General features: G+C 38.5%; 1 protein-coding gene across 10 annotated transcripts in view, besides 1 other annotated feature; it reads left to right on the top strand.

Moving 5' to 3' along the window:
• The window catches only part of ARHGAP12 (Rho GTPase activating protein 12), a 123,479-nt gene that overhangs the window by 21,823 nt on the left and 75,784 nt on the right, over positions 1-25,872 (top strand). The window lies entirely within an intron of this gene.
• Positions 5,493-5,993: an enhancer, noted in NCBI's record as "H3K4me1 hESC enhancer chr10:32189989-32190489 (GRCh37/hg19 assembly coordinates)". NCBI's record gives its function as "activates a minimal SCP1, AML or CMV promoter by ChIP-STARR-seq in primed H9 embryonic stem cells {active_cell/tissue: H9 hESC(primed)}" and the evidence as "EXISTENCE:reporter gene assay evidence [ECO:0000049][PMID:30033119]".

Here is a 25,872-nt window from a genome sequence, read left to right as displayed (position 1 = left end):
GAAATAGGAAAAAGGGAAGACTTTAGAAAAACTTCTAGTGTTTGAGATCAAGGAAGCTATGTGAAGTACCTCTGTCAGTTTATCATTGTGTGTCTTAGTGAGTTTTTGTTCAGTCTTTATGTGATACTCTGACATAGAATATATAGTCTTTCCTGGAATTTTTCTATATTTAGCTCCTCAGGGAACTAATGGGCCTTAGGAAAGACACAGGATTCCATCCAGCCATCACCACAATTTCACACTTCAAATTACATTTTATATTTATGTACGCACGCAATCCTATGTTTTTTTCATTACAGTCATCTTAAGTTCACTGCCCTGGAGTTCCATGGCTCCTAACTTCTCCTGGGGCCTTAACACTGTTTGGAAATCCTATTAGATTTCTCCAGCCAGCCCTCTTCCTAACTCTCCATGGCAGCTGTTTCAGACCTTCTTCATTTTACTCAGTTCTCTGTTTCACTTATTTTCCCCTGCTCTCATGAGAAGATAACCTTGCCTTCCTTCCACTTTACAGCAAATATGAAAGCCATGGGATGGAAACGACTTCAGCTTTGGGGAGCACATGGTTAATAGTACTGGCTTTAGATTGGAATCTGGTTCTGTATCACTTGCCATCTGTGTGATAATTGGGGAAAATCACTGAACCTCTGTGTGTTTTAGTTTCTTCATTTAAAAATTGGGGTCACGGTTCTTGAGGCACATAATAAATGCATTATGTATCTATTGATGTTTAATAAACTACCCCCAATTCGAGTGGCTTAAAATAGTAAACATTACCACTTGGTTCCTGTGAGTCACTGAATCAGAAGCAGCTTAGTTGGGTGATTCCGAAGGCTAGGGATGTCTCCTGAGGTTGCAGTCCTAATGAAGGCTGGGGCTGGAGGGGCTGCTTCTGAAGATGGTTCACTCACGTGGGGCTAGTTGGGCCTCTTCATGGCTGCTTGTGTGTTGTTTCTAGTTTTCTTCAGATGGAGCAGAGAGAACGTGGTAGACACTGCATTGTCCTTTAGTCCTCATCTTTGAAATTGCCCACTGTCATATCCTATTGATTGTGCAGTTCAGCCCTGTTCTGTGTGGGAGGAGACTACACAGGGGTGTGCATATCAGGATTTGAGGATCATTGAGGAGCCTCCTTGGGGACTGGCTATAACAATAAGTATGCCATAAAATATAGCTGCCATTGTTATTATTGTTGTTATTTCTGTTATTATTTCCACCATCAGATCTATAAATACACCTGTATCAACAGTCCTCTTTTCCCCCAGTACAATGCAAGTGTTTCCTGTGCAATCAAAGAACATTCTCCTCATATTCACTCTTCCCACATTTCACATACCTTATGCCAAAGATTATAGTATTGTGCTCATATGGCTTTAGACTTGTTGTTTGTCAAGTGTTTTCAGCATTTACATTTGCTCATGTTTTTCTCATCTTAGTAAAGCTCTTCTTCAGCTCCTCCTTCCCGTCTGAGCATCTTTTATCTTCCTTTACCTTTATCGGCGACCCCTGGAAAAACTGATATGTATTTGCTTTTCTGCACTTGCTCATTTCCCACTCACATGATAACCTCTCCAGTGTGGTTTCTGGCTCCACCACACCACCCAAACTGTTTCTGCTAAAGATACTCATGGTTTCATTGTTGATAATTTACAAGGCAGTTAAAAGAATTTTAGTGTGCGCTTGTAGTCCCAGCTATGCAGGAGGCTGCGGTGGGAGGATCACTTGAGGCCAGGAGTTTGAGACCAGCCTGAGTGACATAGTGAGACCTCGTCTCTAAAAACAAGAACCAAAAAACCCCGCAAAATTTTATACATAATTTATACAATTATCACAGCCAACAAGATTAATAATCAGTTGCCAAATTTAAATAATTTTTTTTTCAAGCATAGCAAGGGTGTAAATATTACTAATTTTCAGTGTATGGCTTGATGAATTTTTACTTATGTATATATTCTGTAACCAGTCTCGAGCCCCTTCCTTGTCGATATCACACCCTCAGCTCCTATGTCTGTCTTAGGAGGTTTTCATTTTCCTGACTTACATCACTACTGATCAGTCTTCTTTAATTAAACTTTTCATTTTGAGAGAATTGTAGATTCATAAGCAGTTGCAAGAAATAATTTGGAGGCCGGGTGTGGTGGCACATGCTTGTAATCCCAGCACTTTTGAGAGGCCGAGGTGGGAGGATCACCTGGGCCCAGGAGTTCAAGACTAAATTGAGAAACATGGCGAAACTCCATCTCCACAAAAAATACAAAAATTAGATGGGTGTAGTGGCATGTGCCTGTAGTCCCAGCTACTTGGGAGGCTGAGGTGGGAGGATCATTTGAGCCCAGGAGGCAGAGGTTGCAGTGACCCGAGATTGCACCATTGCACTCCAGCTTGGGCAACAGAGTGAGACCCTGTCTCAAAATAATAATAATAATTTGGACAGGTCTCTTGTACCCTCTATCCAGTTACCTTTAGTGGTAGCATCTTGCAACACTATACTGTAATATCACGATCAGGGGTTTCAGATTGGTACAGTTAATATGCTGAGCATTTCCATCACCACGGGAATCCTGTATGTTGCCCTTTTACAGCCATAACCAATTCCCTCCCATCTTAACCCTCCTTAACCCCAATCACCACTCATCTGTTTTCCATTGCTATACTTTTGTCATTTGAAGAATTTTATATAAATGGAATCATACCTTTGGGGATTGGCCTTTCATTCAGTGTAACTCTGTAGATTGATCCAGGCTGCTGTGTGTTATCAATAGTTTGTTCTTTTTGTTGCTGAGTGGTATTCTATGGTATGGATGTACCATAGTTTATTTAACCATTTATCCATAAAAGAATATCTAGGTTGTTTCCAGTTTTTGGCTGTTGCAAACAAAGCTGCTGTAAACATTTCTGTACAGGTTTTTATGTGAATATAACTTTTCATTTCTTTGGGATAAACGCCTACAAGTATAATTGCTGTTCATAAAGTAGTTGCATGGTTAGTTTTTAGAAAATAGTCCCAAGTGTTTTTACAGAGTGACAGTATCATTTTAAATTCCCACCAGCAACGTATGAGTAATCCAGTTCCTCCGCGTGCTCACCAGCATTTGGTGTTGTCACTATTTTTTTATTTTAGCCATTCTGATAGGTGGGTAATCTCATTTTGATTTTGATGTGCATTTCTCTAATGGGTACTGATGTTGAATATGTTTTCATATGTTTATTTGCCATTGATATATCCTCTTCATTGAAATGTTTCTGCATGTCTTTTGCCCATTTTCGAATTGGATTGTTTGGTTTTTTTTACTGTTGAATTTTGAGAGTTTTTTTTTTTACATAGTTTAGATACTAGCCATTTGCCAAATACATGGTTTGCAGATATTTTCTCCCAGCATGTAGCTTGCCTTTTCATCCTCTTGATAGTGTCTTTGCAGAGCACAAGTTTTTAACTTTGGTGAAGTCTTGTTTACTGCTTTTTCCTTATGTGGAATCATGGTTTTGTGTTAAGTCCAAGAACTAGTTTTAACTTTGTTGAGGTCCAGTTTATCCGTTTTCCCTTTTATAGATCATGCCTTTATATCAAGTATAAGAACTCTAGCTATATTAGGCTTTTCCAGAGAAATAGAACTGATAAGGTTGTGTATGTGTGTGTGTATACAGTCATGCACCGCATAATGACATTTCAGTCAATGATGGACTGCATGAATGATGACGGTACCAGAAGATAATAATACTGTATTCTTACTGTTCATTTCTATGTTTAGATGCACAAATACTTACCATTTTGTTCCAGTTGCCTACAGTATTCAGTACAATAATATGTTGTACAATTTTGTAACCTAGGAGCAATAGGCTATACCATCTAACTTAGGTGTGTAGTAGGCTATACCATCTCGTTTTGTGTAAGAACGCTCTGTGAAAGTCAAAGATGAAATTGACTGTTACATTTCTCAGAAAATATCCCCGTTGTTAAGTGATGCATGAAGTCCAGAATTTGCAGGGTGGACTGGCAGGCTAGAGACTCAGGGAAGAGCTGATGTTGCACTTCAAATTGATAGGCTGTCTGGTGGCAGAATATCTTTTTGCTTGAGGTAGGTCAGTCTGTTGTTCTATTCAGGCCTTCATTTGATTGGATGAGGCCCACTCACATTCTGGAGGGCAATCTGCTTTACTCTCAGTCCACATTTAAAAGTGTTAATTTCATCCAAAAAAAAGCACTGTCACAGAAACTTTCAGAATAATGGAAATATCTGAGTACTGTGGCCCAGCCCATTTGACACATACAGTTAACCATCACAGAAGCCTTAGATCCTGAATGCTTTATTTTTTTTTAAGTTTATAGTTTCACATTTTATGTTTGAATTTGTGATCCATTTTGAGTAATTTTTTTTTTTTTTTGAGATGGGGTCTTTGTCTGTCACCTAGGCTGGAGTGCAGTGGCACGATTGTAGCTCATTAGAACCTTGAACCACTCAGCTTAAGTGATCTTCTCAGCCTCGTGAGTAGTTGTGACTACAGGCATGTGCCACCATGCCCAGCTAGTTTATAATTTTTTTGTAGAGATAGAGTTTCACTGTGTTGCCCAGGCTAGTCTTGAACCCCTGGCCTCAAGTGATACTCTTGCCTCAGCCTCCCAGTGTATTGGGATTATAGGCATGAGTCACTGTGCCTGGCCATGAGTTTAATATTATTTTATATAAGGTGTGAGCCTTAGATCAAGATTCTTTTTTTTTTTTTTTGCCTATGGATATCTAATTGTTATAGTACCATTTGTTGAAAAGGCTGTCTTTCCTCCAATAAATTGTCTTCTACCTTGGTTAAAAATAATTTGGGCTCCTTTGTGTGGGTCTATTTCTGGGTCCTCTATTCTGTTTCATTCATATATGTCCTTTCTTTAATACCATGCAGCCTTATTTACCATAGCTATACAATAAGTATCGAAATCAGATAAACTGATTTCTCTCACTTTATTCTTCTTTTTCAGAATTGTTTTAGCTATTGTGGTAGGCTGAATAATACTTACCAAAGATAATAGGTCCTAATCCCTGGAACCTGTGAATGTTACCTTATTTGGGAAAGAGGTTTTTGCAGTTGTGATTAAGTTAAGGATCTTGACGAGATTATCCTAAACCCTCCATTTAATCACAAATGTCTTTATAAGAGAGAGGTAGAGGGCACTGCACACACAGAAGGCTATGTGAAGAAGAAACAGATTTGAAGATGCTGGCCTTCAAGATAGGAGTGATGTGACCACAAGCCAAAGAATGCCAGCAGCCACAAGAAGGTGGAAGAAAGAAAGAGGGAATTCTTCCCTAGAGCCTCTGGTATGCACATACAAGAGCATCAGAATTGTTAACTTTTACCTCTGTGGACTATGACTTCATTAACTAGAATAAAGTATTTATAGTACTGGAATATAGTAACTTTAGTTTTACAGATTCTACACATTTTCAGAGGTTTTGAGATTAGCACCTTTTCCTTCATCCTGGTTTAAGAAGGTAGTTTCAAACTTTTTTTTTTTTTTTTTTTTTTTTGAGACCAGGTTTTTGCTCTGTCACCCAAGCCTGGAGTACAGTGATGTGATCTTGCCTCACTGCAACCTTCCACTTTCCAGGCTCACGTGATCCTCCTGTCTCAGCTTCCCGAGTAGCTGGGACCAGGCATCCACCACCATTCCCAGCTAATTTTTTTGTATTTTTAGTAGAGATGGGGTTTCACCATGTTGGCCAGGCTGGTGTCAAATTCCTGACCTCAAGTGATCCTCCCGCCTCTGTCTCCCGAAGTGCTGGGATTACAGGCATGAACCACTGAGTCCAACCAGTTTCTTTTTCTTTTCTTCTCTTTTTTTTTTTTTTGAGACGGATTCTTGCTGTCACCCAGAGTGGAGTGCAGTGGCGCAATCTTGGCTCACTGTAGTCTCTGCCTCCCAGGTTCAAGCGATTATCCCGCCTTAGCCTCCTCAGTAGCTGGGATTACAGGTGCACCACCGTGCCCAGCTAATTTTTTGTATTTTTAGTAGAGACGGGGTTTTGCCATGTTGGCCAAGGCCAGTGTCAATCTCCTGACCTCAAGTGATCAGCCCGCCTCAGCCTCTCAAAGTGCTGGGATTACAGGCTTGAGCTGCTGAGACCGGCCCAGTTTCATACATTTTTAATAAAGTTAGGTTGTTTTGTCATAGTCTGCATTCTGTCCTGGAATTCCCGACCCACCTCAAATGCCTACATTAAAAAAAAAATTTGCATACATTGGGGTTCATTCTTTGTGTGGTAAACTTAAATGGGTTTTAACAAATGCGCAATATTGGGTATCCACAATTACAGCACCATACAGGATGTAATTACTACCTTAACATCCTCTGTGTTTCACCTTCCTTCCCTCACACTTCTGGCAACCAGTCATCTATTGACTCTCATTGTAGTTTTGTCTATTCTAGAATGTCTTTTAATTGGAATTACACAGTAGGTAGCCTTTTCAGATTGGCTTCTTTCACTTAGGAGTGTGTATTTAAGATTCATCCATGCCTTCTCATGGCCTGACAGCTCATTTCTTTTTATTGCTGTATAATCTAATCGTATGGATCTTTCACAGTTTATCCATTTATCTATTGAATGATGTCTTGGTTGCTTCCAGTTTTTGTTGGTTATTAATAAAACTGCAATGAACATTCATGAGCAGATTCAAATCAGATGGGTAAATCCTTAAGAACATGATGTATGGTATGTTTAACTCTGTTTAGTATGGTATGACTCTGTTTAGCTTTGTAAGAAACTGTCAAACTGTCTTTCTAAGTGGTTTTTCTATTTTGTATTCCCATCAGCAATGGATGAGAGTTGTACCACATATTCACGAGCATTTGGTATTACTAGTTTTTTGGATTTCACCCATTCTAATACATGTAAAGTATCTCATTGTTTTAGTTTGTATTTCCTAATTGCAAATAATGTTGAGCATCTTTTCATATGCTTATTATTTGCCATCTTTATATATTCTTTGGTGAAGTGCCTATTCAGGTCTTTTGTCAGTTTTTAATTGGGTTGTTTTCTTATTGATGAGTTTTAAGAGTTCCTTGTATATCTTGAATGTAAATTCTTTAATCAGATGTATGTTTTACAAATACTTCCAGTCTGTAGCTTGTCTTTTCATTCTCTTAACAGTGACTTTTGTAGAGCAAAAGTTTTCAATTTTAATAAAGTACAAAACTAAACAATTATTTCTCTCATGGATCATATTTTTACTGTTGTATCTAAAAACTCATTGCCAAACCAAAAGTCACCTAGATTTTTCTGTTTCACTTCTAGAATTTTTATAGTTTCTCACCTTAAATATAGGCCTGTGATCCATTTTTAGTTAATTTTTTGTGAAAGGTGTAAGGTCTTTAGGTTCATTTTCTTTGCATATATCCATCTAATTGTTTCACCACCATTTGTTGAAAAAGACTTTTCTTTCTCCATGGAATTGACTTCGTTCCTTTGTCAAAGATCAATTTTTGTGGGTATGTTTCTGAACTTTTTATTCTGTTCCATTGATCTCTGTGTCATTCCTTTGCTAATACCATGCTGTCTGGATTAATGTAGCTTTATAGTAAGTGTTGAAAGTAACTAATATGTGTCTTCCTACTTGGTTGTACTTCAGTATTGTGTTGGCTGTTCTAAGTCTTTTGCTTTTCCATGTAAGGTTTAAATTTCACTTTGTCCATATCTACAAAATAGTTTGTTGGGATTTTGATTGGAATTGGATTGAATCTACAGATCAAACTGGAAAGAATTGACATCTTAACACTATAGTCTTGTAATTCATGGACAAGGACTATGTCTTCATTTATTTAGACTGTTTTCGATAACGTTCATTAGAGTTTTGTAGTTTTCTATAACCTTTAGCTATCACCCCACTGTCGTCTGTGGTCCTCAGCACCAAGCAACCATTAATCTATTCTCTATCTCCATAGATTTTCCGATTCTGGACCTTTTATTTTAGTGGAATCATATTTATGTGGTCTTTTGTGACTGCTTTCTTGCACTTGACTAAATGTTTTCAATGTTCAGCCATGTTGTGTGTAGCATGTATCAGTACTGCATTCCTTTTTGTGGTGGAATAATATTCTATTGTTTATCCATCTGCCACTTTTGGAGCATTTTGATTGTTGCCACCTTTTTTGGCTAGTATGAATAATTCTGCTATAAACATCTGTGGACGTGTTTTTTTTTGTTTGTTGTTGTTACACTATTTTATTGTTGTGGGAACATCACAGAGTGTACTTACACAAACCTAGATGGTCTATCCTCCTCCACACCCAGGCTAGATGGTGTAGCCCGTTGCTCCTAGGCTACAAACCTGTACAGCATGTGACTGTCCTGAATACTGTAGGCAGTTATAACACAGTGCTAAGTATTTGTGTATCTAAACATAGAAAAGGTACAGCAAAAATACAGTATTATAATCTTATGGGACCACGTTTGTGTATGTGGTCCACCATTACTGAAACGTTATTCAGCATATGACTGCATATAAAAATGCAGTTGGGCCAGGTGCGGTGCTCACGCCTGTAATTCCAGCACTTTGGGAGGCCGAGGTGGGCAGATCACGAGGTCAAGAGATCAGGACCATCCCACCAGCAATGCATTAGGGTTCCAATTTTTCCACATCCTTGTCAATACTTTTTATTATCTGGCTTTTTGCTTATGGTTATTCTAGTGAGTAGGAAGTGTCTGATTGTGGTTTTAATTTGCATTTGCCTCATGATTAATGACGTTGAGCATCTTTTCATATGTTCATTTGCTATTTATATATTTTCCTTGGAGACATATTTATTCAAATTCTTGGCACATTTTTAAGTTGCGTTGCCTTATTATTGAGTTGTAAGAATTCGTTATATAGTTTAGGTAGAGGTCACTTACCAAATGTATGATTTGCAAATATTTTCTCCCCTCTCCCATTCTGTAGTTGTTGAGACAAGGTTTTGCTCTCTTGCCCAGGATGGAGTGCAGTGGTGCGATCATGGCTCACTGCAGCCTTGACCTCCTGGGTTCAAGCGATTTTCCCACCTCAGCCTCCCAAGTAGCTGGGACAGCAGGCTCAAAAACAAGCCTGGCTAGTTTTTGTATTTTTTGTAGAGATGGGATTTTACCTTGTTGCCCACGCTGGCCTCAAACTCCTGGGCGCAAGCGATCTGCCTGCCTTGACCTCCCAAAGTGCTGGGATTACAGGAGTGAGCCATTGAACCCAGCCTAATAGTAGATATTTTCAGTTTCCCGTCTAATAGTTCCATCTGTGCCACAGCTGAGTTTGATTCTGTTGCTTGCTTTGTTTCTTCATACTGTTTTTTTCTTGCCTTTTGGCATGCCTTGCAATTTTTGGTTGAAAGCCAGACACCATATATCAGGTGATAGGAACTGAAGTGGGGTATTGGGTTATCTGAGTAGAAACTGGATTGCTTTTAATGTTCGCTGTAGTTGTAGGTACCAGAGGCTTTAAATTCTTCAGACATCAGTGTTTGTCTCTAAGAGATTTTCCTTAGTATCTACTTAGATACTAAGTATCTAAGATTTTCCTTAGATACTACTTAAGGTAGGCGCCCCCACCCCACACCCAACTCCCACCCTGTGCCCCTCAGTTCACTGTTGATGTACTGGAGGCCTGTTGGAGTGGTGGTAAAGTATGGGGAAGGGGATAGTGTTCTGTTAGGATTAAATCTTAGCCTTTTAGTGTGTGTGCGTCATGAGCTGTGAATTTTACAAGTGTCTCTTAGTTTACCCTTTCCCTTAGGCAAGACCAGGGATGTGGAGTCTGGGAAGTGCCCTTTCCTCAGGTCAGATAAGGCTCTGGTAAACCCTTTTAAGTCTTTGTAAGTCTAGGAAGTAAGTCTTTGTTATGATGAATGACTTGGGCTTATTTCATACTAGTTATTTTTTCCCTCCCCTTGTCAGAGCTATGGGAGTATCTTCTTGGCTCTTTACTGTAGGAAGCTGATGTTGTTTTTGGAAGTAAACCCCACAAAAGTATAAGGTCTTTCTTTCAAGACTGCCACTCCTAGAAGTTAGTCATTCTCATCCTAGTCCACACTTAGCCTCCAGCAGTTCATTGAAATGACCTTTAAATGTTCCTTCCAGTTTATAGCTCCAGGGTTTCTGTTCCAGGGAAATAGATCTGTGTGACTCTGAATTTGCCTTGCTCTCCAAATTTTGGGGTAGTGGTTTGACACGTGACTTTGGTTCTGTAATGGGTCCTAGAAATAAATTATTTTCAGTTTGTTCAGCTTTTATCTTGGTGTTAGGATGAGAATGATGACTTCCAAGCTTGTTACATGTCTGAGCTAAAATAGGAAGTTCTACAGTTGATTTTCATGTTCATCTTGTATCTTGCCACCTTGCCTAACTCACTCACTGATTTTATGAGATGTTTTTGTATGGTTTATTAAGAACCATATACTTTGCTGAAGCCCTTTTTTTCCCCCTCATAATCACATTGATGTTCGTTTAATATGTGTGTCTTATCAATCTTGAGTATCAAGTTTCCCAGGTCCCTATCATTAGAAAGTATGATCTGAAACTGGGGAGTAGAAATGATAGGACTTTTCTCTATGAGGCTGACACGATGCCAGAAGAAAAAGTGATAACTGACAACCTGACATTTAGGAAGAAGGCCAGAAATCTATAAAGCTTAGAATCATATTATTTTAAAAATGCAATAATGAGTTTTTATGATGATGACCATAAATCTAGAAATGTTTACATTTGTTACATACTAGCTTTTTTTTTTTTTTTCAAAGTAAAAAAAGTTTAATGATGTCCTGGATCACATCCATTATTTTATTTTATTTATATATATATTTTTATTATACTTTAAGTTCTTGGGTACATCTGCACAATGTGCAGGTTTGTTACATATGTATACATGGGCCATGTTGGTGTGCTGCACCCATTAACTCGTCATTTACGTTAGGTATATCTCCTAATGCTATCCCTCCCCGCTCCCCCCACCCCACAACAGGCCCCGGTGTGTGATGTTCCCCTTCCTGTGTCCAAGTGTTCTCATTGTTCATTTCCCACCTGTGAGTGAGAACATGCGGTGTTTGGTTTTTTGTGCTTGCGATAGTTTGCTGAGAATGATGGTTTCCAGCTTCATCCATGTCCCTACAAAGGACATGAACTCATCCTTTTTTATGGCTGCATAGTATTCCATGGTATATATGTGCCACATTTTCTTAATGCAGTCTATCATTGTTGGACATTTGGGTTGGTTCCAAGACTTTGCTATTGTGAATAATGCCGCAATAAACATACGTGTGCATGTGTCTTTATAGCAGCATGATTTATAATTCTTGGGGTATATACCCAGTAATGGGTTGGCTGGGTCAAATGGTATTTCTAGTTCTAGATCCTTGAGGAATCGCCACACTGCCTTCCACAATGGTTGAACTAGTTTACAGTCCCACCAATGTAAAAGTGTTCCTATTTCTCTACATCCTCTCCAGCACCTGTTGTTTCCTGACTTTTTAATGATCGCCATTCTAACTGGTGTGAGATGGTATCGCATTATGGTTTTGATTTGCATTTCTCTGATGGCCAGTGATGGTGAGCATTTTTTCATGTGTCTGTTGGCTGCATAAATGTCTTCTTTTGAGAAGTGTCTGTTTATATCCTTTGCCCACTTGTTGATGGGGTTTTTTCTTGTAAATTTGTTTAAGTTCTTTGTAGATTCTGGATATTAGCCGTTTGTCAGATAAGTAGATTGCACAAATTTTCTCCCATTCTGTAGGTTGCCTGTTCACTCTGATGGTAGTTTCTTTTGCTGTGCAGAAGCTCTTTAGTTTAATTCGATCCCATTTGTCAATTTTGGCTTCTGTTGCCATTGCTTTTGGTGTTTTAGACATGAAGTCCTTGCCCATGCCTATGTCCTGAATGGTATTGCCTAAGTTTTCTTCTAGGGTTTTTATGGTTTTAGGTCTAACATTTAAGTCTTTAATCCATCTTGAATTAATTTTTGTGTAAGGTATAAGGAAGGGATCCAGTTTCAGCTTTCTACATATGGCAAACCAGTTTTCCCAGCACCATTTATTAAATAGGGAATCCTTTCCCCTTTTCTTGTTTTTGTCAGGTTTGTCAAAGATTAGATAGTTGTAGATGTGTGGTATTATTTCTGAGGCCTCTGTTCTGTTCCATTGGTCTGTATCTCTGTTTTGGTACCAGTACCATGCTGTTTTGGTTACTGTAGCCTTGTAGTATAGTTTGAAGTCAGGTAGCGTGATGCCTCCAGCTTTGTACTTTTGGCTTAGGATTGACTTGGTGATGCGGGCTCTTTTTTGGTTCCATATGAACTTTAAAGTAGTTTTTTCCAATTCTGTGAAGAAAGTCACTGGTAGCTTGTTGGGGATGGCAATGAATCTATAATCTACCTTGGGCAGTATGGCCATTTTCACGATATTGATTCTTCCTATCCATGAGCATGGAATGTTCTTCCATTTGTTTGTATCCTCTTTTATTTCACTGAGCAGTGGTTTGTAGTTCTCCTTGAAGAGGTCCTTCACATCCCTTGTAAGTTGGATTCCTAGGTATTTTATTTTCTTTGAAGCAATTGTGAATGGGAGTTCACTCATGATTTGGCTCTCTGTTTGTCTGTTATTGGTGTATAAGAATGCTTGTGATTTTTGCACATTGATTTTGTATCCTGAGACTTTGCTGAAGTTGCTTATCAGCTTAAGGAGATTTTGGGCTGAGACGATGGGGTTTTCTAGATATACAATCATGTCATCTGCAAACAGGGACAATTTGACTTCCTCTTTTCCTAATTGAATACCCTTTATTTCTTTCTCCTGCCTGATTGCCCTGGCTAGAACTTCCAACACTATGTTGAATAGGAGTGATGAGAGAGGGCATGCCTGTCTTGTGCCAGTTTTCAAAGGGAATGCTTCCAGTTTTTGCCCATTCACTATGATATTGGCTGTGGGTTTGTCATAGATAGCTCTTATTATTTTGAGATACATCCCATCAATACCTAGTTTATTGAGAGTTTTTAGCATGAAGGGCTGTTGAATTTTGTCAAAGGCCTTTTCTGCATCTGTTGAGATAATCATGTGGTTTTTGTCTTTGATTCTGTTTATATGCTGGATTACGTTTACTGATTTGTGTATGTTGAACCAACCTTGCATCCCAGGGATGAAGCCCACTTGATCGTAGTGGATAAGCTTTTTGATGTGCTGCTGGATTCGGTTTGCCAGTATTTTATTGAGGATTTTTCCATTGATGTTCGTCAGGGATATTGGTCTACAATTCTCTTTTTTTTGTTGTGTCTCTGCCAGGCTTTGGTATCAGGATGATGTTGGCCTCATAAAGTGAGTTAGGGAGGATTCCCTCTTTTTCTGTTGTTTGGAATAGTTTCAGAAGAAATGGTACCAGCTCCTCCTTGTACCTCTGGCAGAATTTGGCTGTGAATCCATCTGGTCCTGGACTTTTTTTGGTTTGTAAGCTGTTAATTATTGCCTCTATTTCAGAGCCTGTTATTGGTCTATTCAGAGATTCAACTTCTTCCTGGTTTAGTCTTGGGAGGGTGTATGAGTCGAGGAATTTATCCGTTTCTTCTAGATTTTCTAGTTTATTTGCATAGAGGTGTTTATAGTATTCTCTGATGGTAGTTTGTATTTCTGTGGGATCGGTGGTGATATCCCCTTTATCATTTTTTATTGCGTCTATTTGATTCTTCTCTCTTTTGTTCTTCATTAGTCTTGCTAGCAGTCTATCAATTTTGTTGATTTTTTCAAAAAACCAGCTCCTGGATTGATTTTTGAAGGGTTTTTTGTGTCTCTGTCTCCTTCAGTTCTGCTCTGATCTTAGTCATTTCTTGCCTTCTGCAAGCTTTTGAATGTGTTTGCTCTTGCTTCTCTAGTTCTTTTAATTGTGATGTTAGGGTGTCAATTTTAGATCTTTCCTGCTTTCTCTTGTGGGCATTTAGTGCTATAAATTTCCCTTTACACACTGCTTTAAATGTGTCCCAGAGATTCTGGTATGTTGTGTCTTTGTTCTTGTTGGTTTCAAAGAACATCTTTATTTCTGCCTTCATTTTGTTATGTACCCAGTAGTCATTCAGGAGCAGGTTGTTCAGTTTCCATGTAGTTGAGCGGTTTTCAGTGAGTTTCTTAATCCTGAGTTCTAGTTTGATTGCACTGTGGTCTGAGAGACAGTTTGTTATAATTTCTGTTATTTTACATTTGCTGAGGAGTGCTTTACTTCCAACTATGTGGTCAATTTTGGAATAAGTACGATGTGCTGAGAAGAATGTATATTCTGTTGATTTGGGGTGGAGAATTCTGTAGATGTCTATTAGATCTGCTTGGTGCAGAGCTGAGTTCAATTCCTGGATATGCTTGTTAAGTTTCTGTCTCATGGATCTGTCTAACGTTGACAGTGGGATGTTAAAGTCTCCCATTATTATTGTGTGGGAGTCTCAGTCTCTTTGTAGGTCTCTAAGGACTTGCTTTATGAATCTGGGTGCTCCTGTATTGGATGCGTATATGTTTAGGATAGTTAGCTCTTCTTGTTGAATTGATCCCTTTACCATTATGTAATTGCCTTCTTTGTCTCTTTTGATCTTTGTTGGTTTAAAGTCTGTTTTATCAGAGACTAGGACTGCCTTTTTTTTGTTTTCTGTTTGCTTGGTAGATCTTCCTCCATCCCTTTATTTTGAGCCTATGTGTGTCTCTGCACGTGAGTTGGGTCTCCTGAATACAGCACACTGATGGGTCTTAACTCTTTATCCAGTTTGCCAGTCTGTGTCTTTTAATTGGAGCATTTAGCCCATTTACATTTAAGGTTAATATTGTTATGTGTGAATTTGATCCTGTCATTATGATGTTAGCTGGTTATTTTGCTCGTTAGTTGATGCAGTTTCTTCCTAGCCTCGATGGTCTTTATAATTTGGCATGTTTTTGCAGTGTCTGGTACCAGTTGTTCCTTTCCATGTTTAGTGCTTCCTTCAGGAGCTCTTTTAGGGCAGGCCTGGTGATGACAAAATCTCTCCGACGATCAAAATTCTCTGAGCTAAAGGAAGAAGTTCGAACCCATTGCAAAGAGATTAAAAACCTTGAAAAAAGATTAGACGAATGGCTAACTAGAATAACCAATGTGGAGAAGGCCTTAAATGACCTGATAGAGCTGAAAACCATGGCACGAGAACTATGTGACGAATGCACAAGCTTTAGTATCCAATTCGATCAGCTGGAAGAAGAGGTATCAGTGATGGAGGATCAAATGAATGAAATGAAGTGAGAAGAGAAGTTTAGAGAAAAAAGAATAAAAAGAAACGAACAAAGCCTCCAAGAAATATGGGACTATGTGAAAAGACCAAATCTACATCTGATTGGTGTACGTGAAAGTGACGGGGAGAATGGAACGAAGTTGGAAAACACTCTGCAGAATATTATCCGGGAGAACGTCCCCAATCTAGCAGGGCAGGCCAACATTCAAATTCAGGAAATACAGAGAACGCCACAGAGATACTCCTCGAGAAGAGCAACTCCAAGATACATAATTATCAGATTCACTAAAGTTGAAATGAAGGAAAAAATGTTAAGGGCAGCCAGAGAGAAAGGTCGGGTTACCCACAAAGGGAAGCCCATCAGACTAACAGTGGATCTCTTAGCAGAAACTCTGCAAGCCAGAAGAGAGTGGGAGCCAATATTCAACATTCTTAAAGAAAATAATTTTCAACCCAGAATTTAATATCCAGCCTAACTAAGCTTCATAAGTGAAGGAGAAATAAAATCCTCCACAAACAAATGCTGAGAGATATACTAGCTTTTTATGTTGGCATATATATTCATAGAAAGAGTTTATTCATTGATGATGATAAACTAACACATTTCTGGCATTTGAAGCCTAATCTTACATTGATTTGGAAAATTTTTATATAGAACAACACATCAACCAACATTTCAAGGTGCTATTATCATAGTATAATGGGTTCACAAAACCAGTTCCCGAATTTGTTATAGATTTCAGCTTCAGTTCTAATTGAAAACCATTTAAATATTTCCTTTTAGTCTTTTTTTCTAAATTGTGTCAGCTGCTAATAGAGGTGTTTATTGTGTTTAAAAACTACAAGTGTTAAATATATATACATATATTTACAAAGTAGGAATCATGCTGTATGTGCAGTTTCACTATAGGGAATATTTTACAAAGTATTATACAAATGGAATTTCAGTTAAGAAGAGTGCTTGAGGAATGGGATTTTCTTTTTTTTAGGCTAATTGGATTTTCTGGTTAATTCAGGATTAGGTATAAAGTCCTTTTTGTTTTAATGTTTGTTAGAGATTTTACTAAATCTGTTTCTACATAGATGGTACTGAATCTAAAAACAAGTGTAAACTGGCTTTGAATAGCCAGTTAATAGTGTCCCCTTTCATCCAAATCCTAGCTTGCTGCTGATAAATCTTTTTGATAAGTCCTCTCTTGCCACACTCCTGGAACCATGGAGTCGTTACTTAGCTTTCTTAAAATTTTCTGAAATGCTGCTTTGTCACCAGCCCAGTCTTACCGTAGACTTCCTACTTAATTATTGCTTAGAGCATGTCTAAAGTTAGGAATCTTAGGCGATTTAGGGGCTCAGTCTTCTTTTAGTACTTATGATTTCTGCTATATAATGGCTTAAATAAGTTTTGGTGAATTAGAAAACCTAATCCTCAGTATTTATAACGTAATATTTTTTGGTAAAATATGCTTGAAGTTCCAATCATCTTAGAAAGCAACCTATTTGTAGGTTGGAATTATTTGTCTCTTTGAGCACTAGTATAATTGTTGCTTATTTTACTTTTTTAAAATTTAGGACAATGTGGGGACTGAACTTGGGTTGAAACTGATTTAGATTTTCAGATTTTGGATCTGCCTCTGCTTTGCTGATCCTTGGGTGAACCATTTAATCTCTGAGCCTCAGTTTTCTCCCCTCTAGAAATGGAGCTCAGAATTGTCATTAGGTTTAAATGAAATTCTGTTGTGAAATGACTTATGTACCCAGACACAAAAAGAGGTACTTGGTACAATATTAGTTCTATTCACTGCACAGTAATGTATATACAGGCAGTGTTGGAGATTAGAATGACTAAGTACAAGTATGTATGAGAATTTCATGGCCCTCCAAGATCCCATGGTTTTTTCTGCTTGTTTTAGTTTATATATATTAAAATATACAAAAATCTGGCCAGGCATGGTGGCTCATGCCTGTAATCCCACCACTTTGGGAGGCTGAGGTGGGCAGATCACTTGAGGCCAGGAGTTCAAGACCAGTCTGGTCAGTGTGGTGAAGGGCATGCCTGTAGTCCCAGCTACTCGTGAGGCTGAGGTGGGAGAATTGCTTGAACCCAGGAGGCAAAGGTTGCAGTGAGTTGAGATCATGCCACTGCACTCCAGCATGCATGACAGAGCGAGATCCTGTCTCAAAAAAAAAAAAAAAAAAAAAAAAACGAGAAAAATTAAGAAAAGAAAATCAAAATCCTTAGATTCATTAATCACAGAAGATAAAATTTTTAAGTGGTTACTGGATTTTTACACTTTCAAAGTTATTAAAAACATTTTTAGAAAGTAGAAAGTAATACCTTCATTTATTTGAGTGCAAAGGTGAACTTTGTATTATTCTTTATAGCAATTATTGGTAAAATTTGTTTTGTGTTGTACTTTTTTGCACAGAAACTGAAGTAAGGTCACTTAGATGATTATGTGACTGGCAGAGCATTATTTAATCAAAGCAATTGACAGATGATATTCAGTGGCTTTGCCTTAGAAGGCTAGCTAGCTAATACTGCCAGGTTCTGGGTTTTCTAAATCCCTTTGCCTAGAATGTATAACCTAGTATTAATAGTATTTGATTCTTAAGCCAGGTGTGGTGGCTCACGTCTGTAATCGCTGCACTTTGGGAGGCCAAGGTGGGCGGATCACTTGAGGTCAGGAGTTCGAGACCAGCCTGGCCAAAATGGCGAAACCCTGTCTCTACTAAAGATACAAAATAATTAGCCAGGCATGGTGGTGGGCACCTGTAATCCCAGCTACTAGGGAGGCTGAGGCAGGAGAATCATTTGAACCTGGGAGGCAGAGGTTGCAGTGAGCCAAGATTGCACCATTGCACTCCAGCCTGGGCAACAGAGCGAGACTCTGTCTCCAAAAAAAAAAAGTCCTCTTATGTTCACCTCCCATCCATCTTTTCTCCAAATCAGCCCCAGAATTTCTGTTTTGACCCTTTTCTTTTCTAAAGTAAATTAATCTCTCTTTTTCTTAACCTTTTTTTCCTAAACTCTGTGTGCTTTTACCTCATGATTCCTAGATGCAGTTTATCTTATGTTTTATATTTACTCTTTTTTTCTGCTTTCATCCTTGTGTATTAGAACTCTTAATTGTAAGTGCTGGAAACCCAGCTATGACTAGCTTAGACAAAGGGGAATGTTTAGGCCCATGAGACCAAAGTCCAGGAGGGGATTATTCATTTGGGCATTAGGAATGATTGGAACTCTAGGGCCTTGTTCACTGTCAGGATTCTTTTTACCTCTTCAATCTCTCATCTCTGATTTTCTCTCCATGGTTCTGTTATTCTTCCAAAGATATTTCATCCACGTGGCTGTAGACAAGTTTTGGCACCTGCCAGGATCACATTCTTAGTTTTTAAAATTAGAGTATCTATTTTTTCTTTCCTTAGTTCTAATTGAGAAAATCTCAGAGAAAGAGTCTGTCTTGGCTTGCCTTGGGACATGTTTAGACTTATGGCCAGGAGCATGATTGGACCCCACCCAAACTGCCTAGGTAGAATTTGAGGAGAAGCAGTTCCCCCAGAGAAGTAGTAGTTTGTCCCCAAATAAGGGAGACATGTTGTTGTTCCCAGAATAAGGGAGAGGTGCCAGGCAGACAAAATAGCAGTTGTCTGTCATATCCTCTTTTTCTGACTGTGGGTCTCTAGGTCTTCCCACGTATATGTATTCTGTACCAGGCCAGTCATTGACACCAGCTGCTGTGAAGACCAGGGAGGGAGCTGGCAAGGAATAGAGCATCCAAACTTATTATAGTTCACCACTGAAAGTTTTGAAGATCCAGACTTTGTGAGTAGAGAGGAATTCTATGTACTATAAAATAGGAAGGGCAGGCCGGGCGCGGTGACTCACGCCTGTAATCCTAGCACTTTGGGAGGCTGAGGCGGGCGGATCATGAGGTCAGAAGATTGAGACCATCCTGGCTAACATGGTGAAACCCCGTCGCTACTAAAAATACAAAAAATTAGCCAGGTGTGGTAGTGGGCACCTGTAGTCCCAGCTACTTGGGAGGCTGAGGCAGGAGAATGGGGTGAACCCAGGAGGTGGAGCTTGCAGTGAGGCGAGATCACGCCACTGCACTCCAGCCTGGGCGACAAAGCGAGACTCCATCTCAAAAAAAAAAAAAACAAAAAAAAAACAGGAAGGGCAAAATGATACTCCCTTTGAATGAGAGTTTGTGCATGTCTTTGTCTCTCCAGACTGTAAAGTCCTTAATGCCAAAGATTGTGTCCTATTGATCTTTGCCAAACAACCCTTTGACAACAGATAATGTAGTAAATAACCTATTGTATAGTGAAGGGAATACCGATTTCGTATGTCTGCAGTTTGGCAAGGGGTGAACTTGTGATGGTTCTTTTTATGTGTCAACTTGGCTGAGCCACAATGCCCAGATATTTGGTCAAACATTATTCTGGGTGTTTTTATGAAGGTGCTTTTTATATGAGATTAACTTGTAATTTAGTGGGCTTTGAGTAAAGCAGATTACCCTCTGTAATGTGGGTGGGCCTCATCCAATTTGGTGAATACCTTGGTAGAACAAAGACAGTCCTTCCCTGAGCAAGAAGAAATTGAGCCAGCAGACCACCTTTGGACTCAAACTGCAACACTTCCCTGGATCTTCATCCTGCCCCTCTACCCTGCAGATTGTAGATTTGCCAAGCCTCCACAAGTACATGAGGTAATGCCTTAAAATAAATACATCTTAAAATAAATCTCTTTCTGCCTCTGTCTCCCTGTATGTATACACACACATCCTGTGGATCCTGCTGGATCTGTTTCACTGGAGAACTCTTGACTAATACACAGGGTATAGCTACGGATTGCTCTGCATTTTTATTATCACAATTAGATACTGTAAGAGAAAGGCCTGAAGATCATGTGTAAAATTCTTTGCAAAAACTTCTCAGCCTAGCTTAGTTCTTGTGTTCGTGTCTGGGCCAGTTATTCTGGTAGCTAGGTTAAGCACTCTGATTTATCAGAACTGCATTTTGTGTCAGTCCTTTTGTGAGATGTGCAGGGTAGTATGATTGACAGTTTCATCAGAATCACATTATTTGAGGGGGAGAGCAGATAACCAAAGAAGGCAATGGTGGTGGTGCTAGTACCCCAAAAAAGGACTGTCGAAACCAATAAATGTTCATATAGCACAGTTATTTACTGTACATTGGAGTATATCTATCTTTTGGAATATGATGTCAGTATACTTTTTATATTTCAGAATTCTTGGCTACTGTATAAAGTCAGTTTCATGTAGATTTCCATCACATCTGTACTTGGATTCTGATACTGGAATATTCATGTGCTTAAATCTATGATTAAAAAAAAATCTTAGGTGTTATATTTAAAGGCCAAAGTCACAGTGTCATTTGGCTTGGGTATCAGAAGTTGCTTTCTCTGTGTACATATGTATATATACACACAAACACATAGATAATTGTAGTATAATTGTAGGAGAGTAGCTGTGGAAAATATGGTTGAGAAGCTGGCATAATCCTGATAGAGTCATTAAAAAAATGTGTACATTAAAAATGTTCTGTGTTTTCACCCTGTTTTCTTTCTAGAGAAGAATTTGCTAATCTAGGTGACATATCAACAAAAACAACAGATGTGGAAAATTTTTTGCATTTTTGTTGAGAAAAATCTCATCTCTGTGCATAGAATATCTTTAGCAGTTGCTTCAGTAAATGCCAAGCAGATGGTTTAAACTCAGAATGACTACTCAAATAATTTTATCACAACAATTAGTTTGAAGTCTGTTATAACAGTCAAGATCAGAATTTTAGAAAACCATGAATGTAGGTTGGTGTACATTAAAGAGGTATAGGAATAGGCTTCGAAATCAGAAAAATTGGTGTCACAGAATCTACAAAAGATTCTTGACTTTTGAGGCCCTCTTTTTTTTAAGCTATGGTTGAATAACTGTGTATTTGTTTGTTTGTGTTTTTTTAATTAAACTTTTTTTTTTTTTTTGAGTTGGTGTCTCGCTCTGTCACCCAGGTTGGAGTGCAGGAGCGGGATCTTGGCTCACTGCAACCTCTGCCTCCCAGGTTCAAGCGATTCTCGTGCCTCAGCCTCCTGAGTAGCTGGGCTTATAGGCATGCACCACCATGCCCAGCTGATTTTTGTATTTTTAGTAGAGATGGGATTTTGCCATGTTGGCCAGGCTGGTCTTGAACTCCAGGCCTCAAGTGATCCACCCGCCTCAGCCTCCCAAAGTGCTGGAATTACAGGTGTGAGCCACCATGCCTGGCCATTTGTCTGTTTTTATATAGCATAACAGTGGAATTCAGTAACTTAAAAGTTGTTGGAAAGTAGGCAAAGCAGGAAGGAACTCTTGGTTTTTAATGAGGTGATAGAAAAATAAAAAGCCAGAGGCTATTCTGACTGATGGAGGGAGGAGGATATCTTCAGTGTGTCAAGCACTGGATAGATACTTAACGTGTGTTTTCTTCACAGCTGCTTTCTAAGGTAAAGAGATACTTTATTTTTACATTGAAAAAATAGTTTCCTGTTCCCAGGTTAAGAAGTCAAGGAAGTAGTTATACCTTTTAAAAACTACTAAAAATGATTACATTAAAATTTTGTTGCTCTTGTTTGATTGGTAAATTTTACTTGAAAGAATGACAAACTGATTATTCATACTAGGACATTAGACATTTTCTCAAAAATGAACAGAAGTAAGCCTATCACTTTAAAGAAAATTGTCAATTTTTGCTTGAGGGAATGGACACCCTGCTCTCCAGGATGTGCTTATTTTACATTGTACACCTGTATCAAAACATCTCATGTACTCTATAAATATACACACCTACCATGTACCCCCAAAATTAAAAAAAAATAAGAAAATAATTGATTTTTATTGCATATGATAAAATTCAAGCTTTTTAAAAATTTATGAAGAAATGACATGGTGAGTTTTTTGAGCTCAACTGGAGATTAGAATTTTGAAAACTTAGATTTGTTGTCATGAGCTTACAGCTTCTCAATCTCAAGACTCTTCATGAAAGCAGTGGTGATATTAAAGTTTTTGTTTTGTTGTTTGTTCTTAATGTTGTGTAATGAAATGTTTCAACATTTGGAAGATAAGCGTAACTCAGTGAATGAATGTTCCTCAAGTGACCAGTGTACAGTGGGTAAGAGAGCCATTCACAGTGCAAGGTAGACAAGTGGGTTTTAATGTGAGAAAGTACAAAGAGTTAATTGTTATGATTTTTAGATTCCACATTGCAACTCATCTTTAAGAAACTGCCACTTGTCAAGTTTTGGTGGAGTGTCTGAGAAGAATGTTCACAATAATATGAAAAGGCTGTAAAGTATTTCTTCCTTGTCCGACATATCTATAAGGCCATTGTTTATGTACTTCAACCAAAAAAAAATTGCAAAATATTGAATGTAGAAGCAGATGTGAGAATCCAGGCAATAAAGAGATTTGTAAAAATGTAAAACTGTGCCGTTTTTTTTTTTGGAGGGGAGATTAATCACTTTTTCATAAAAACATATGTTAATATGTAACAGGCTTATTTTTAAATGAACTAATACATAATTTAAGAATTTTTTAGTTTTGTTTTCTAATACTAAATATCAATAGATATGAACTCACACAGATGAATTCTTTGTGAAAATTTATGTCAGTTTGGAAAGAAGTGGTCTTTTAACCATACGTAGAATTAAATTCTTTTTTTTTTTTTTTTTTTAGGTGTAAACATATAATGCCATGTTATAAACTATGCTAATATTCACTTATTGGAACTTTTTTTGGCTTACAAAAAGTTTAGGCCAGGCGTAGTGGCTCATGCCTGTAGCCCCAGCACTTTGGGAAGCTGACGTGGGTGGATTACTTGAGCTCAGGAGTTCAACACCAACCTGGGCAACATGGCAAAACCCTTTCTCTATAAAAAATACAAAAAAAATTAGCTGGGCATTGGGGCTTGTGCCTGTAGTTCCATCTACCTGGGAAGCTGAGCTGGGAGGATCACTTGAGCCCAGGATGCAGAGGTTGCAGTGAGCTGAGATCACGCCACTGAACTCCAGCCTGGGTGACAGAGCAATACGTTGTCTCAAAAAAAAAAAAAAAAGTATTTTACATGAGGTCACATTCCTGAAAGGAAAGCACAGTATGAAAATACTCAGTTTCAAGTTGTGAAAACCTTGAATGTGCAAAAATGGGAATGACAAGAAGTGAGACTTATGTCTCCGGTAAGGATGGAAAGAGGAAGGAAAGATTTCCTGTAGTTTCTGGTCAGACTGTTTTAAATATTTTTGTGCTGAAGTTGGAAAATGGAAAGCTTAAAAATACCTCTACTATGTTAGTTCTTCAAGCATGTTATGCAGTGTGAGAGATAACCTAGTGAGAACTGTTTTCAATACTTTAAGATGAATTGACACCATTTCTCACCTTTTATCTATTTAGTTAGTTGAACTAAAATTTGAAGCAAATTTAGGCAAGGGGATAATTAATGTAAGTCTTAAAAGAGTAGGTATTTCTTTTTTTTTGAAATGGAGTTTTGCTCTTGTTGCCCAGGCTGGAGTGCAATGGCGCAATCTCAACTCACCACAACCTCCGCCTCCCAGGTTCAAGTGATTCTCCTGCCTCAGCCTCCGGAGTAGCTGGGATTACAGGCATGTGCCACCACGCCTGGCTAGTTTTGTATTTTTAGTAGAGATGGGGTTTCTCCATGTTGATCAGGCTGGTCTCAAACTCCCGACCTCAGATAATCCACCTGCCTCGGCCTCCCAAAGTGCTGGGATTACAGGTGTGAGCCACTGTGCCCGGCCCAAGAGTAGATATTTCTTAATGCAGAGAAACCTTAATCAGTTTTCTTGAGGGACAGAATTTTTTGCCCCATTGAATTTTCCTTAGTAAGAGGGATATCTAGTATCTGTTTTACATTTGCCACTTACTAGAAGCTTTCAGTGTGCTAGATAAAATGCAAAGTCTTGCCTAGTTTCTGTTTTTTTTTTTTTTTTTCTTTTTAAGAGACAGAGTCTTGCTCTGTTTCCCAGGCTGGAGTGCAGTGGTGTGATCTCAGCTCACTGCAGCTTCCACCTCCCAAGTTCACACAATTCTCCTGCCTCAGCCTCCCAAGTAGCTGGGATTACAGGCACGTGCCACCACGCCCACGTAGTTTTTGTATTTTTAGTAGGGACAGGGTTTCACCATGTTGGCTAGGCTGGTCTCAAACTCCTGACCTCATGATTTGCCTGCCTCAGCCTCCCAAAGTGCTGGGATTACAGGTGTGAGCCTCTGCACCCAGCCTAGTTTCTACTCTTAAAGAGCTCATAGTTTTGTGCATTTTGTTCCACTCTCCAGCATTAGCAAAGTAACATAAAAGTTTATTGGCCCTTTCTTTGAAAAATTTGACTTTTTCAGTCATGATTTTTTACTTAGTTCTCCTTATTATATTAGTGTGGAATGTCTCCAGGTCATCAACATTACTTTTGGGGACAAAAAGTAATTACACCATTAGATATCAGTTGCTAAACTCCACTAAAATGGAAATATTGGAAAATCCCAGGTAGCAATTTGGTTAGGTAGGCTCTGGCTACTAAAATATTTTAAACATAGATGTTTATTCTTAGTTTATTTTCATCTGATATAAAAACATCTAGCACTTTGGGAGGCCGAGGCGGGCGGATCACGAGGTCAGGAGATCGAGACCATCCCGGCTAAAACGGTGAAACCCCGTCTCTACTAAAAATACAAAAAATTAGCCGGGCGTAGTGGCGGGCGCCTGTAGTCCCAGCTACTTGGGAGGCTGAGGCAGGAGAATGGCGTGAACCCGGGAGGCGGAGCTTGCAGTGAGCCGAGATCCAGCCACTGCACTCCAGCCTGGGCGACAGAGCGAGACTCCGTCTCAAAAAAAAAAAAAAAAACATCTAAACAAAAATTTTGTTTTTCCTGTTTTTTTAAATTTGAAACACTTATTTCTCCTATTCTGTGAACACTTACAGTATTCTTAATATGCTAGTTATGAATATATTTTACACTGTGGTAACAAAAGTATTTTTTAAACACAGCTCTAAGAAATGATTACTAATACTTGTAGTATTTGGTAGGGACAATATGGATAGTGAGTAATAGTCTGGACTTTGGAATTAAATAGACCTTCCTGGTTTTGAATCTTAGTTAACAACTTCCTCATGGAGAGGAATAGTTAAACTCTAGGGTATTGAGATGATTGGCAAGATAAGTCAGTCAAGTGCTTAGAGTAAATGCTTAATAAATCTTAACAGTTTATTGTTTCTGTTGTTGCTAAAGGAAATTTCATTGCAATAAAATGTTCAAAACTTTGTGGACTTCTATTCGAGACCCCTCAAAAGATATTTTCAGACTTTTAAGGCAGTAAGCAAAAAGTCTTAAAATAAATGTATACTTTGCATATTGCTTTAGAATTGATATTTTATGTTTTTTTTGTGTGTGTTCCGTGTTGGCCTCTTATGTGTCTGTGGGCCCAGGACATTTATTCCTGTTTTTCAGCCTGTGAGTATAATGTTACTGCTTTAGGCAAGTTTTTGTTTTTTTTTAACATGATACTGCCCATTACATGTATATTATATTTGATGGTTAGTCCTTTGTCACTTTTAATATTCTGATGGAAAACTGATGT

The sequence above is a fragment of the Homo sapiens genome, chromosome 10 (genome assembly GCF_000001405.40).
Source record: "Homo sapiens chromosome 10, GRCh38.p14 Primary Assembly".
NCBI classification, from domain to species: domain Eukaryota; kingdom Metazoa; phylum Chordata; class Mammalia; order Primates; family Hominidae; genus Homo; species Homo sapiens.
This window is presented reverse-complemented; position numbering and strand designations above follow the sequence as displayed.